The sequence below is a fragment of the Homo sapiens genome, chromosome 7 (assembly GCF_000001405.40).
Source record: "Homo sapiens chromosome 7, GRCh38.p14 Primary Assembly".
NCBI lineage: Eukaryota > Metazoa > Chordata > Mammalia > Primates > Hominidae > Homo > Homo sapiens.
The window spans coordinates 112074476-112088464 of NC_000007.14; the positions used below are offsets into that span (position 1 = coordinate 112074476).

General features: G+C 35.9%; 1 protein-coding gene across 12 annotated transcripts in view, besides 2 other annotated features; it reads right to left on the reverse strand.

The window, feature by feature from the left end:
- Window positions 1-13989, reverse strand: part of DOCK4 (dedicator of cytokinesis 4) — a 480290-nt gene that overhangs the window by 348366 nt on the left and 117935 nt on the right. The gene's annotated exons all lie outside the window — the stretch shown is intronic.
- Window positions 6040-6089: an enhancer, noted in NCBI's record as "active region_26508". NCBI's record gives its function as "activates an Ori minimal core promoter by ATAC-STARR-seq in GM12878 lymphoblastoid cells {active_cell/tissue: GM12878}" and the evidence as "EXISTENCE:reporter gene assay evidence [ECO:0000049][PMID:35858748]".
- Window positions 10014-10113: an enhancer, noted in NCBI's record as "active region_26509". NCBI's record gives its function as "activates an Ori minimal core promoter by ATAC-STARR-seq in GM12878 lymphoblastoid cells {active_cell/tissue: GM12878}" and the evidence as "EXISTENCE:reporter gene assay evidence [ECO:0000049][PMID:35858748]".

Below are 13989 nucleotides of genomic sequence, written 5' to 3' on the forward strand. Positions count from 1 at the left end.
GGCTAACAATTCTGCAAACCTCATTTCTGCTTTGCCAGTTGCTGGCTCCTAGATCTGCCATGGGGATACTAGTGGGGGACTGCAAGGCTGAGAAGGAAGAAGGGACATACTCCTTCCTGTCTATGGATGTTTCCATTTTGCCTCTTGTCTGTCTGTGGTTCCTGTGTTACCCAGGCAACACTTCATCTGGGCAGAAGCAGTTCTCTCTAGCAGCATTTCAATCCAGTTGGCCAATTTTCTCACTTGCAAAACCAGCCTCATCCTGACCCCAGCCTCTACCCAGAGATCTCACCAACAGCTGGCTGGCCAACCCTCCTTAAAGACCTGGATCCCAGGCCCACAGGGATCATCTTCTGAAGTCAGCTACAGCAGCACTAGTAGAGCAGTATTCTCTTCTCAGAGATCTATTTCAGCTCTACAGGGCTCCTCCTCTAAGTTTCTATGTTCAAATAACCCAATCTCTTTCCTGCAGTTGAAACACATTTGATCCCTTAGGGTCCTCTTCCTGCCTTGTCAGTTGCCTAAGTATCACCTTTCTACCTAGCTAACAATTCTTTATATTGATGTATCTCTGTTCAAGTAACTGTTGTGGTTTCTGTCCCTGATTGGACTCCACTGATACACTATCTGTACTATGCTATAATAAATGTGGAAACACTGATTGTGGAAAAATATAACAGTGGGGTCAGGGAAAGACACTGAAGACCTAATAGTTGAGCCAGGCACTTAAAAGAAGGTATTCACCCAGGAGAAAGTACCAACAACATATAAAATGCAGAGCCTGCTCATGAAAATAATTTTTGCAGGGAAAGAGAGGCAAGACTGGAGGAGGGACTTTTTGCTGGTGCTAAGAAATGTTTTCTGCAGGCAACAGAGAGCTATTGGGAGCCTCACATGCAATTCCCTGCTTTGGATGGTGCCACACTGATGGTAATGAAGAGGACAGTTCATAGAGGAATCATCACCTAGAGGGAGGACTTGGAAATAAGTTAGAAACCGTAACACTATGACAAAGTCTTTCCTCTGAAAAGTTACATAACTTAGCAGGAAATTCAGATACAACTCACTGAATACTGTATAGCTAAATACAACTATCTCCCAAATTTTGGGCCATACTCATTGGCAACAAACAACAGAATTTGAGCATATCTCAAAAACTGATACGACAACATTAATTTCTGAACCAAAGATTTTCATTACAAAGTACTTCAACCTGGATGTAAACACACTATGCCATTCACATGCATAGTCACAATGAAACTTTTGATAGTGCAAACATAAGTAGGGCTAAACTTTGTCCTTATTTAAAAAAAAAAAACTTACAGAAATAAATACTATTATGGGAATTAGCTCTTCCAGCCCAAAAGAAGTGTTGACATAATACAGTGACTTCTAATTTTCATTTTCTGTGAGCTTTTACAACACTTAAAATTGTAGTACAATTACCATTTACTCATGTCCTTACACTATCTGATATTTTATCTTATCTTTTAGGCTAGATTATAAAAAATTAGTTTGTCAAAAAGAAGTGCTACATTTGACACTTTTTCTATATTCTCCTAGAATTTGTTACAGTGAAGAAAAAGACCTAAAATATTTGTTGACTTTAATGCTAAAAATATTTTCAGGTAGCCATTTAAAGAACTTTCTTTATAAAATACTACAGGAAACTATTTTGTTGGAATCATTTGCAGTAATTTGAAGGTAAACAGTATGTTTTGTTTTTTTACTTTTATATGCCCTTGAAACAGGTATAACACCGTGTTTACAGTAAACACACAATAAATGTTTGCTGGTTTGAGTTAACTAAGAAAAAGAATTGGGGGGGTTCTTAAAATATTTAAAATCATATTCATTAATTTAGAATCTGGGGAATCAGTTAATAAAGACAAACTGAATTTGGCAAAAAATGTTAAATTTTTTGGAACCCATTTTCATATTAAATGGATTATTTTAAAAACAGATGAGGAAAGCTTAGAACACCTTGGCACACTTCCACAAATTATTTCATGATCAAAGACATCTGGCTTTTTTGATTATTTATGGAATTCCACCCTAAGGCCCACTTGATATTTTCAAAATATGTTTTGCAATATTTGGACATTCTCCAGGTAGCCAGTTTAATTCATATTTCCCCAAAACCTCATCTTGTTGGGAAGTTTGATTATCATTTCTTTATGGTTACAAATGAGTCCTAAATTCCATATAAAGTGTGTTCAGGGTTTTATGAAACAAAATGAGATTCTTTTTAGAAATCATTTTTCATTTAAAATTGAAATTCAGCTTACAACCAATTTGTCATATGTCTTATTTGCAGACTATAATGTAGGTAAGAACTAAACAGAGCACTGGGTTTTATTTTTCAGGAAAGAATACTACATTTAATGAAGCGTTGACTGAATATACTATTTCTTAAGGTTGACAAGTATATTTTCCAATAGCATAAAACAAAGATCGCATCATTTGAACACTTTCCTGCAAGAGACTTGTTACATATAAATGGCAAGGTGTATATAGTAAGTAGAGTACTTAGACGTTTGATTTTATTCAGTATAAAGTCAAAATGGGAAACAGGGAGAGAAAAGCCAATGAGACAGGGAAAGAGTAACTGAACGACAACTGATACTCAGCAAATAAGGTTACTGTCAGCCAGTAGTCAGAAATTCAAAACCCTAAAGCAGTACACTTTTCTAATAAAAGTAACCTTTTGGATAAATCTTTGCTCCACCCCAGCATGGACAATTACGTGGTAAATTAAGTTATCCAAAAAGGAAAAATGCTATAAAAGTTAGCCCAACATCATACTAGCAAAAAACACAACATAGCTGGGCTCCTTCTGAACATTAAAGACAAAAATAGAATAGTATTTACATTAACTACTATGGGAAAGACATCATATAAAATGAAACCCAATTTAGAACATTTTTCATTTTATACTTTTTATACTACAAAAATATTTTAAATATTTATAGAAACTAACGTCTTTTAAAGATATATTATTTATAAAACAAAATTACGCATCATTTCTACAGTGTGCTTAAGAGTGATGGAATACGTATTTAGAAAAAGTCACTAATACATCATTCATACGCATTCCAAAGTGAGTTGTGGTATCATGCATTATAAAATCATGTTTTAAACCATAGTGTGTAATAGATTACCTTCACAGAGCACCTATGATTTATTAATATGTGCGTGTGTGTGTTTTTTAACATGCCAGTTATTTAAATACAGTATCATGGCAATATTCTAGGCTGAATGTTGATGCTAGAAAGCACTGGATAATACAGCACTTGTAATTTTCTGAATAATGCTCTCAAATTTTTATAAAATGTTATTCATTCTAATAAAAATTATAATCAGTAAACTTATCAGTTAATAGGTTTGCTAAAAATATAATAAATTTAATGTATAAAAGGTAGCTAAGACACATCAAAGCGGTCCCAGAAAGAGAATAATAAGTGTTGATCACTTTGTGTTTTGTATTTATTAGAAATACAAGCCTAAGTGAGTAAAATTCTATTATATTTATTAAATGTATTGGCATAGATATTAATTACACTAATTATTGATAATGATGAAAATACAGAAAATTGTTCTCTACTAAATGGTATACTGATACATGAATCAATTCAATATACATAAATTCATCAAATTTCTCATAAAATTTTAGAACTATCAGGTGCATGAATAAGATTTTATCTCTCATGTTTTTTTAAATGTTAGAAGATGCTTAATTAGTTTACATCTAAATCTGAGCTTTCCTTGAAAACAAACACAAAGAAGCCTCTTTTGTCTCACTACACTCTACCCCATTTCTCTCAATACATTCTGCTCCCAGCTACGTCCAAGACAACTAGAGCTGTCATTTTTTATATGAAATACAAATGGTTTACAATTCCCCCAGGTAAATACTTTTTCCTATTATTAACTCTCTTGATTACCAAGAACAAGGTATTATAAGTCTTATTATTTTGGAAACAAACTTTACCAAAGCTACAGCTACAGGCATGGCACATAGAGAGACGATTTAGGAAAAAAAATATTTAACTAGGCAGGATCACTGTGGAATATCAAAGGAAGGTGATTTAAGAGTTTGTCGAGTTTAAGGGAGAGAAATGTTGTAACACAGCTCCAACCTTCTTCCCCAAAGCTGAAATGGTCAAACAATATAGACATGCTGATGTCAATCCCTTGGACATCTACTCAAGCCAACTGGGAAGAAAGCAGAGGCATAGGAACGTCTGGAGATGAGAAACAGGAGGGAGCTCACTCACTTATACACGTATCTCCTGCAGAGTCTGGGTCTCTGCTCCAAACATAGACCAGTACTGCCTTTTTGATATATTATAAAGAAATATAAAATACGGCCGGGTGCGGTGGCTCACACCTGTAATCCTAGCAATTTGGGAGGTCGAGGCAGGTGGATCACATGAGGCCAGGAGTTCGAGACCAGTCTGGGTAACATGGCAAAACTCCGTCTCTACTAAAAATACAAAAAATTAGCCGGGTATGGTGGCATGCGCCTGTAATCCCAGCTACTCGGGAAACTGAGGCAAGAGAATCGTTTTAACCTAGGGGGCAAAGATTGCAGTGAGCTGAGATTGTGCCACTGCACTTCAGCCTGGGCAACAGAGCGAGACTCTGTCTCACACAAACAAACAAAAATAAATATGTAAGAATGATAGCAGGCAGGAAGAATAAGGTAAAATGAGACAATTTCTAAAAGTTATACAAATACAAGTGAATTCCTGCACATCTGTTTAAAAAAGCAAACTGTGCATGTGGAAATTGAGGGAGACTTTGCTTACCTGCATTTAGTACAGATAAGAACCTGGAAGTTTCACCTGACTAAAAGGTCAACCTGAGCCAACTGTATTATGTAAAAGTACATTCCCCATTCAAAAACTAGAACGAAACAAAACTCAGCTAATCCATGGGTCACTATTGGCAATATAACTTTAGTACCAAGGCCATTAAAAATCCTGCTGTACTCTACTTGTAAATTATATGATCTATGAAGTATACTTTTAAATTTTGGCCATAACATATTTCAGGGCACTGACAAGCCACAACAAGCTGAGAGTTGAATGAGGACAGGAAAGGGTCTAGAGACCCTGTACTAAAAGAAATGGTAGAAGGAATTGGGAACTTTAAAACTATGAAAGCTCTGGTACTTTAAGAGTTGACAAAGAGATGTGGTTATGGTTAAGCTAATCAACTACTCTGTGCTTTAGTTTCTTATTTTGTAGAATGGAAATCAGAAAAGCACCTCCCTCACATGCTGTTATAAAGAGTAAACAAATTAAATCCAATAAAATAATGCACATAACTGGTTACAGCAAGCACTGGTTATCATTAATAACATCATCTTCATTATTTTCTACAGCCCCCAGAGGGCAGACTTAGGAACAATGGGTAGAAGTTAAAGAAAAACAGATTTTGGCTGAATAATGGGTATAAATCTTACTTTCCTATTTCAGATTCCATCTCTTCATTTTTAATGTAATATAGCTGAAGTTATTTCTGATAGGTCAGCTTTTAAATTCCTATGGTTCCTTAGTTATCTAAATTAATTTCTATTAGAGGAACTAAAGTTAGAAAAATTTAAAAAAATACATTATTTTCATTCAAAAAAGAATCAGTATTCTAATTTACCTATCAGGTAAATATGGATTATTAGATTTTCTTAAAAGGAGGGTTGCCAGACAAAATATAGGATGCCAAGCTAAATATAAATTTTAGATTAAATAATGAATGAGTTTTTAGTATATATATGTCATAAACATTTCATGGGACCTACTTATACTAAAAATCTATTTGTTGTTTACCTGAAATTAAATTTTAACTGGGTATCCTATAATTTATTCGCTAACTTTAGCAACCCTATGTAAAAGGATAAATGTTAACAAAACTCAAGTAATTTAAAAAAGTTTTTACATAAACAAAATTTTGAGCTTCCTTTTTCATGTAGGATGATTTCTTGCATTGATAGAGAAATGTTACATATCTGCCAGTTTTTGTTTAAACAACATTTCAGAAATTCTTCTTTCCTGACACGTCATTTAGTCATGTCTCAGATTTCCTGTGCCAGCTTAAGTTGCTCAAGAAGAGGTTATGGTTGGCTACGCACTTGTGACAATGTGCAGAAACATCACTTCCCATTTGGCTAAAGGCAGACAGACCTTATGGTAGACTTTTGTTTTCACCTCTGTTAGATGTGGATGACACAGCTCCTTCGTTCAACGCATATTTACACAATGGGTATATCCAAATACGTAAGACAACCACTGTCAAAGAAAACATCTTATGTCATTTTCCTCAGGCTCTACAAATACAGCCACTGTCACCTGAATGCTGTGAACTAGCAACTGGATGCAGACAGCAAGATATTTTGATGTTTCAATAATATTTACACTTATGTCACTAAACACTTGTGTAGATTTGTGGGGTATGAGGAATGAAAATAGACTTAAATAATTGTTCCATCTGCTCAACAATATAAAAGAAATTGTTAAAAGACATGAACAACTGTCGAGGTACATTTCTAGAGGGTCCGCCAAGTAGCCCACAGGCCACGGATAGGAGGCTGACATCTGAGAAGACAAGAAGGATGAGCCAGCAACAAAAATACTGAGACAGGAAGGCGGGTAGTGGTGCAAAAAGCCCATGAAAAAAGAATCGAAACAGGAAGAAGGAACCCGCAGTCAGACAGGAATGCGAATCCTGTGGGCAATTCAAGGAAGTAGTGAGGTTTGGAGGAGACACACAGAATGCAGGCAAGCATGACTCCGTTTCCACATGACAGCTACTTCTCAGGGCTCTAAGACACTATTTCACATGGAAACAAGACAATCCATGTGAAGATATCCCTAACACCACCAACTTTTTAGGAGAAGCTGGTTATTACAGTCACAAATCAGGGTGGCTTTCATCCCAGACTCAGGGTGAGGACAGAGTCCTTGAGGGAAGCCTGACACGAAAAGTGCAGATGAACACTCATTATGTCCCACAGAGCAGGTCAAGGAGACAAAACAAGAACATGAAGAACCACTCTCAAGTGGGATTCTTCTAGAAAGATCCCAGGAGGAAAGTCACTATGTCTTAAAGGTCTTGCAACTTATTTTTATCCCTTTCTTATTTTACGTACTTTGTCAGTTATCTCAAATGTTTTGTAGACAGAAAAATAAACAAATCTTGGTAGTTCCAGTGCCCGTCAATACTCCACACACAGCTGATGTTTAATAAATGCTGATTAAATTAAATAATTTATTTGTAGCTGTTCTCTTGAAGGGGTCAAAAAGAAAGATGGTAAATTGGATCTGGGGCTCAAGAATAAAAAGAGGGAAAACTATCTAAGGTATCACAGTATAAAATGTGAAGACCAAAAGAGGAAGATCACAGAGTAATGCGCAAGATCTCCTAGTGCTCATGAGTCCAGAGACAGACTTGGGTTGGGGCCCTGCTCTGCCTCTTACCAGCTCTGTGACAAATTGGGCAAGTCACTGAAGGTTCTCCCAGCCTCAGAATACTCATGTGACAAATGGATGTCATCAGAGTACCTACGCTGGAGAGGCGTGGGGAATTACATGACATTATACATGTAGAGTTCTTAGCTCCGCACCTGTCATGGAATAGACACATAGTAAATGGTAGGAAGGGTAGATGCAGAGGGAACAGTAGTAATGAAATATTGAACCTGAAAAACTTTTTAAAAATTTGTGTCATGACTGGAGAGGAAATCTATGTTAATGCAATCATGCTTAGTGAAATCTCAAATACACAGTTAACCCTGAGAGTCTCATACATTATTGTAATGTCAGTAGAGGAAACAACAGCCATCACCATGCCCCCATTTGTGGGTCTGAACAATTAGCAGCAAGCCAGGTAGGAAGTTGGTAATTTCACAGGAAAGCCAGAGAAAAAAAGGAAGAATGGCTAGAAATAGCGGGGGTGGTTGCTGTGGTACAAAATCTACCTTCCCTACTCCTTTACTGGGGGATAATAGGATTGGCAACCCATAGGCACGCTGGGATTTCCCAGCAAATCAAATAAATTTCGTAATTGTTGTTCGCTACAAAATTATTTTTCTCTTCCTGTAAGAAACCGGAAAAGCCTACAGAGAATGTATTGTTAATATTAAACCCTCGACTAAAGGAGATGTAGAGGTATTTATGGATAGTAGTCAACTCACTCTCTCTCCTCAGATTACATTACACTTAACGATTTAAGGCTTATAGTTTACTATATAGAAAAAGAGAAAGGAGAGAGAAATACTAATCACCACAGTACTTGCTGAGACATTTTATATCAGAAACAACTGAGATTGGTAGTGCTATTCATGTATCTGAAAAATATATAATTTTTTAAACTTGGTAAAATCCTACCCATATGACTTAGCTAGAAATAAATTTTAAATTAAAGTATCATTTATTCTAGAATGTATTTAAATAAAAACCACTTTATTACTTTTAATGTATTATGGAGATGGTCAATTTAAAGTCCACTGGGTCTACTTTTTGAATAGATTAAGCACACTTGAAATTAGCACTAATTATAATTAGCATTAATTGTAGCCCCAAATAAATATTCTAATTTTAATAATGTACTTCTTTTCAGAGGGTTCACAACATAAATTTTATAAATAATCCCTTTATCCATAAATTGCACTAAGGTAAAGTAAATTTCAATGTAGTTTAGGCAGATTAATTATGAATTAGGAATCAGTAGAATTTTTTATTAATATGATCTTAACATAGTTGAAAATAATTTTATTTGATATGTGAATACCATCACAATTGCCTCAGGCTCTCACATCTATCATCTCCATTGGTTTTACATAAAAGTACCTAGAGATTAGGTAATTTTCCCCTAGTTGTTCTGTGAGTTGGTTATAGATATAAGATTAGAATATAAAATATAGAATTAATAGTATAACGTATGACCCAGTTACTATAACATAATGAATTAACCTCTGTTTCCTAGAAGTTTTTATCTTTACATGTTGAGCTTAACCCCTCATACCCAGAAGTCAAATTTCTGGCAACATCTCTAATTCTTTTTGGAACAAAATGATTAAGGTAAATAAAATAAAATAAAATAAAAGGCCACCAAACATCCAAAATAGCTATGAAAACAAAGCTTCACTCCCCAGAAGGCCTTAAAATCTTCATGTAGAATTTATCTTTACCTGAACACAATTTTTAAAAGACATGGTTTTCCGTGGCACAGAATGAACAAGATGAAAAGTCAGAACTGATGGCAGGGATATTAAAGATATGAATAATAACTACATATAGTATGGAACCTTGTTAGAGGATCATACCAAAGGCTTAGTTTAGTACGGTAAATTAGATTGGTATTTGGCAAATAATCACTTTTCCCTAACCACCTCATGGAATAAGTATACTTCCCTGCTCTGCTGTTAGGCTTAGTGATTGACTTACTTTGACCAACGGAATGGAATCAGATGTGATTCCAGTTGACAGCTGAAGTGCGCTTGCACAGTTGGGCTAACACTCTTGTACTCCTACCACGACCATAGGAATAGCTTCGCTGGTTTGCTTCCTTCAGACTGGGCCCTCAAAATAAACATTTCTGGAACAGACCTAAGCTTAATCCACAGTGAGGACCTAAACCCAGACAGGCCTGCAGCATGAAGTAGAGTCATGCCGTCAGGCCTGGCCCAGAACATGCCCAGCCAATCTCTATCACAGAGAGTGAGAATGAATGAAAATTAGTTTAAGCCACTGAGTTGTGGAATTGATTTTTATGGAGCAACAGCTGACTGATGCAATCATAAAGAAAAAGTGAAAAGATGTTTAAATTGCTTCCGCTTAAAACCATTACATTTCAGTACAATTTATATCAGCAGCTACTAAAATATTTGAATGTTTAGTGTTTGAATTTCAGCTGACTAGAAAATTTCATTTATACAGAGAGCATCCCAAAGCCACTACTTAGCAGCATGATACATGGATCTTAGAAGTTGTGTGTCCAGCAAAAGGGAATGAGCATTTTCTTTAAATAAAGTCTGCTTAGCTTTGCTGAACAGTTCTACCAGACCCTCAGTTAATATACTTTCATCTGAGGTTTCATGCTGCTGACTAGCAATAAGAAACAGTCACATGATGCTTGGGCTGAGAAAATGTTTCAGTTCCCACAAATAGAGCAATGCAGGAAATTTCAAGACATGCATAATGAAAACGAAAGAAAATCCTTGTTTTCTTAGAAAATCTCCCTTCATGTTTGTACAGAGTGAAGTAACAGATATCCAGATTTAATGCCAAATCACAGTGACATGACTTGTTACCATTGTTATGCTACCATTACAAGGCACTTCCCGTGTGACCGGCTTTCTGCTGGGTGTTTTCACCATTATCACTTCAAGTTAACCACACAACTATTCCAAAAGGAAGGTATTATTACCATGTATGTGTACTTTAGAAAATGAAAAAACTAAAACATACAGAACATAAGTTACTTGGCCAAGTTGTATGGCTTGGAAGTGGTCAAGCAGGAATTTGGAGCGAGGGCTGTCTGACTTCAGAACAGTGCTCTTACTATATCCCATTCTATGAGAAAATTGTTCTAGTATATTCACTTCAACATCAGAAACTGCCACACAGATCATATCACAAAGCCATCTTCTAATCTTTTCTCCTCAAAATGAAGAGATTTAACATGGTAACATTTGGCAAAGAACTTCATAGCTTCCCCTCAGTCCCACAATATTTGCTTGAATCAAAGGGTCAGGATGCTCAAGAGAGCAATTTCAAATTATCTTTCATAAACCAGTAAACAAGATTAGAGATTTTAAATCCATAGCCCATCAAAAACTGATTTGGCTGTGTCAAAAAGAAACAGAGGTCAAAGTGACCTAAGATAGGGCAATTTAAGAGGAAAAAAATGCACTAGATTGAAAGACATCTAATATATAAAAACTCATGAGTTCATAATGATACTAATGAGAAAATTTCAATGATTCATTACTGCCGGTTGCCAGGGTACAAATTTATGATTCCAAAAAGTTATAAATAAGGAGAAAGTATCAAGCATTTATCTTACCTTTCCTGTAAAAAGTGTATTTCAAGGTAATCAAGTAGCAGATGGGTAGAAGTTCTTTATGGAAGAATTCACCCAATAAATGTACAAGAAATGACAGAATCACAATGAGAAAACTAAGATTTTCCTAATTCCTAAGATAAATAATGGATCTTGACAGTGATCATCAATGGATGCTAAATCCATCAGGGAAAGCTTGATAGAGAACTTTCAAATGGGATCGGGCTGACAGCATTTGAACTTGCTGATCTAGGTATCTTCAGCAGTGTCCCTGGAAGAGGCACAGGCAGACAACAAGTCTCTCTTGCAGAAAAAAAGACACAGCCCCAGCTATGAGACATTTTTGCCAAAAAAAGCAAATAAACAGACCAGAGTCTAATCAAGTCTCTGGAGCTAACAAGTACATCCTTGAAACATTGTAATATGGGCTGGCTGTATAGGATATTAATTCTTGAAATGATTACTCCTTATGTTACATGTCATGACAATTTGGTTAAAAAAATCCTCGGAAATGTATACTGGAGTATTTTGAGGTAATATAACACCATATTTAGGATTTGCTTAAATGTACTACAGGAAAAAGAAAGATCAGACATGGATAAGATTGGCAAAATGTGGATAATTTTTGAAGTTCAAAAAATACATGAATATATAGTACGTTATCTTTGTACACCTTTGTGTACAAATTTCCACAATAAATAAGGCAGAAAGGGAAATCCAGAAAAACTAGCTCACCACAGTTCATGCCCATTTAAATATAGGGACCATAAGTCGTGCACCAGTTAACGTCTGTGTCTGTCTGTTCTCTCTTTCTTCTCTTTATTCTTTAGAATTATAGTTTCTATATTAAATAGCTAAGTTTGGGAAAGGTTTTGTTTTCTTAACAGGAGAGTCAATGAAACAGAAAACGTTTTAAAATCAGAACCGAGAGCACCAAAATTCATTAACTCAATAAATACTTATTAAGTACCTACCTTCTCCTTACTGTCAAAACTCAAAGCTGTGGCAATACAGCAGTGTATGAGACACAGGTTCCTCCTGTTAAAACAGTGGTTGCCAAAAATCTAGCAAATGTTGGTTTCCCATTAGGATCAGAAGTAAGGATGTGGTAACAGAGGCAATTTCCAAAATCAACTCGGGCATGTAAAATGTCAATAAAACCCAACTCTGAAGTCACATCTAACCGATTCTGACAGAGTTTTACGCTGAGCCAAGGCCATCCTGCCCAAGCACACTAAATGTTGACTCTGAAGCACATGTAGGGGAATTAAACAGTAACCAAGGATTGGAAGGGAATTTTGTCACAGTTTACACAGTCAGTAGCACCAGGATAGAAAAGCAAAGGCACCTAGGAGAATTGGAAAATTCTGTCACTACCAGCACCCCCACCACCCCTGAAAAAACAAATCAGAAAAAGACAGGATTTTAATGAATAACCTTGCATGCTGAACCCTGGGTAAGAAGGAAGAAAAGACAGAAAAACTGAGATAACCCTCAGGAGTCTCAGAGTTCTATATTTTGTGGTGCAGACAGGGCAGCTCACCAGGCTAGGGCTGTGGTGAGCTATTTCCTTTTTTAACATTCCAAGATGCCAATATAGATGATGTCCTTCTCCAGGTACCCATTTCTCTTTTCAACACCTGTAGTTCTTGATTAATTAATTCAATCAGGACAGACTTATGTATTAACTGTACACTTTCTTGACAACCCCTTCTGACACTCAGGTGCCTAATGTAGGCCATCTCTTCTTCAGCTGCTAGGTAATACATACCCCTGTTTTTATGGAATCAATATAACATAAGGATTCCCTGGCCAAACTTGAAAATTATCTTTAGATTTAGATTTGTTCTGTTTTGAAAGACACGTATGGAAATGCTTATTTGCACACAAATAGACATCCTCATAAAACTGCCCAAATTCACTGAAGACGCCTATATAAACATGATAGTCTTCAGATTCAATAATGACAAAGCAAAATATCCTGCAGCTCTGGAATGTACCCTTAAAGTATAAAGTGTCAAAAACAAATAATAAAATGTCTAGGAAAAAAATGAGAGATTTAAGCTTTGAATTTTTTCCTTGAAGAAAAGAAAAAAAGATATCGTTATCTAAAATACTATGTACCCTGAGACAAAACTGTCAGACAGCTTCATTTTGGGTTATCTCCTAAATAGAGTCTCACTTTTCCCTAAGCCTTTCTCTCCAGTCCCACTCAGAAATGGGTATCTAACTCCTGAGACCTAGACCATCATATTAACATTGTATTGGGACCATTTGTCAATTATGGGACAAAGGAGACACATCGTGAATGAAATACAGCCCTGTTTAGACATCTCTAACAGATCCATGGAGTGGCATGCAGGTGGGAGATTTGTAATTACTACTCCAACACAAGGTGTTAAAAAATATGATAGAAATAGTCAAAAATACAGTGGTGTCCCTAGCAAGAGGTACATACCCAACAGTGGTGAAGGGGAGTAGATTTTTAAATAAATAGGCTGGAAAGGCAGTAGACAAGCAGGAAACCAGTGGGATCGTGGGACAAGGTCCCGTATGAGACCTCGCATGCAGACAGGGAGCACAACTAGGTGAGTTTTCAGGCAAAAGCATAGAAGCATAAAATCACATCTTCAGGCAGGTCACACTGTTGGCTGGAGGATCAGTTTTAGAGTGAAGTTTTAATACATGGTCATTCTTCTTCAAGTTTAAACACTCAGTCCATGGCTAGATAAACCACCAGATAATAAACAGAATTACAAAGCCTTTTTAAATGTGTTCTTTTGGCAACTGAAATATCCCCTTTTAATTCTTTGAAAGGTTAGATGTTTATAGATAAAAAAATGTATCTCCTATATAATTAATGGATTTTCTTATCCTCTTTTGGAAAACATGTAAGACAATACTTATTTGCACACATATATACAT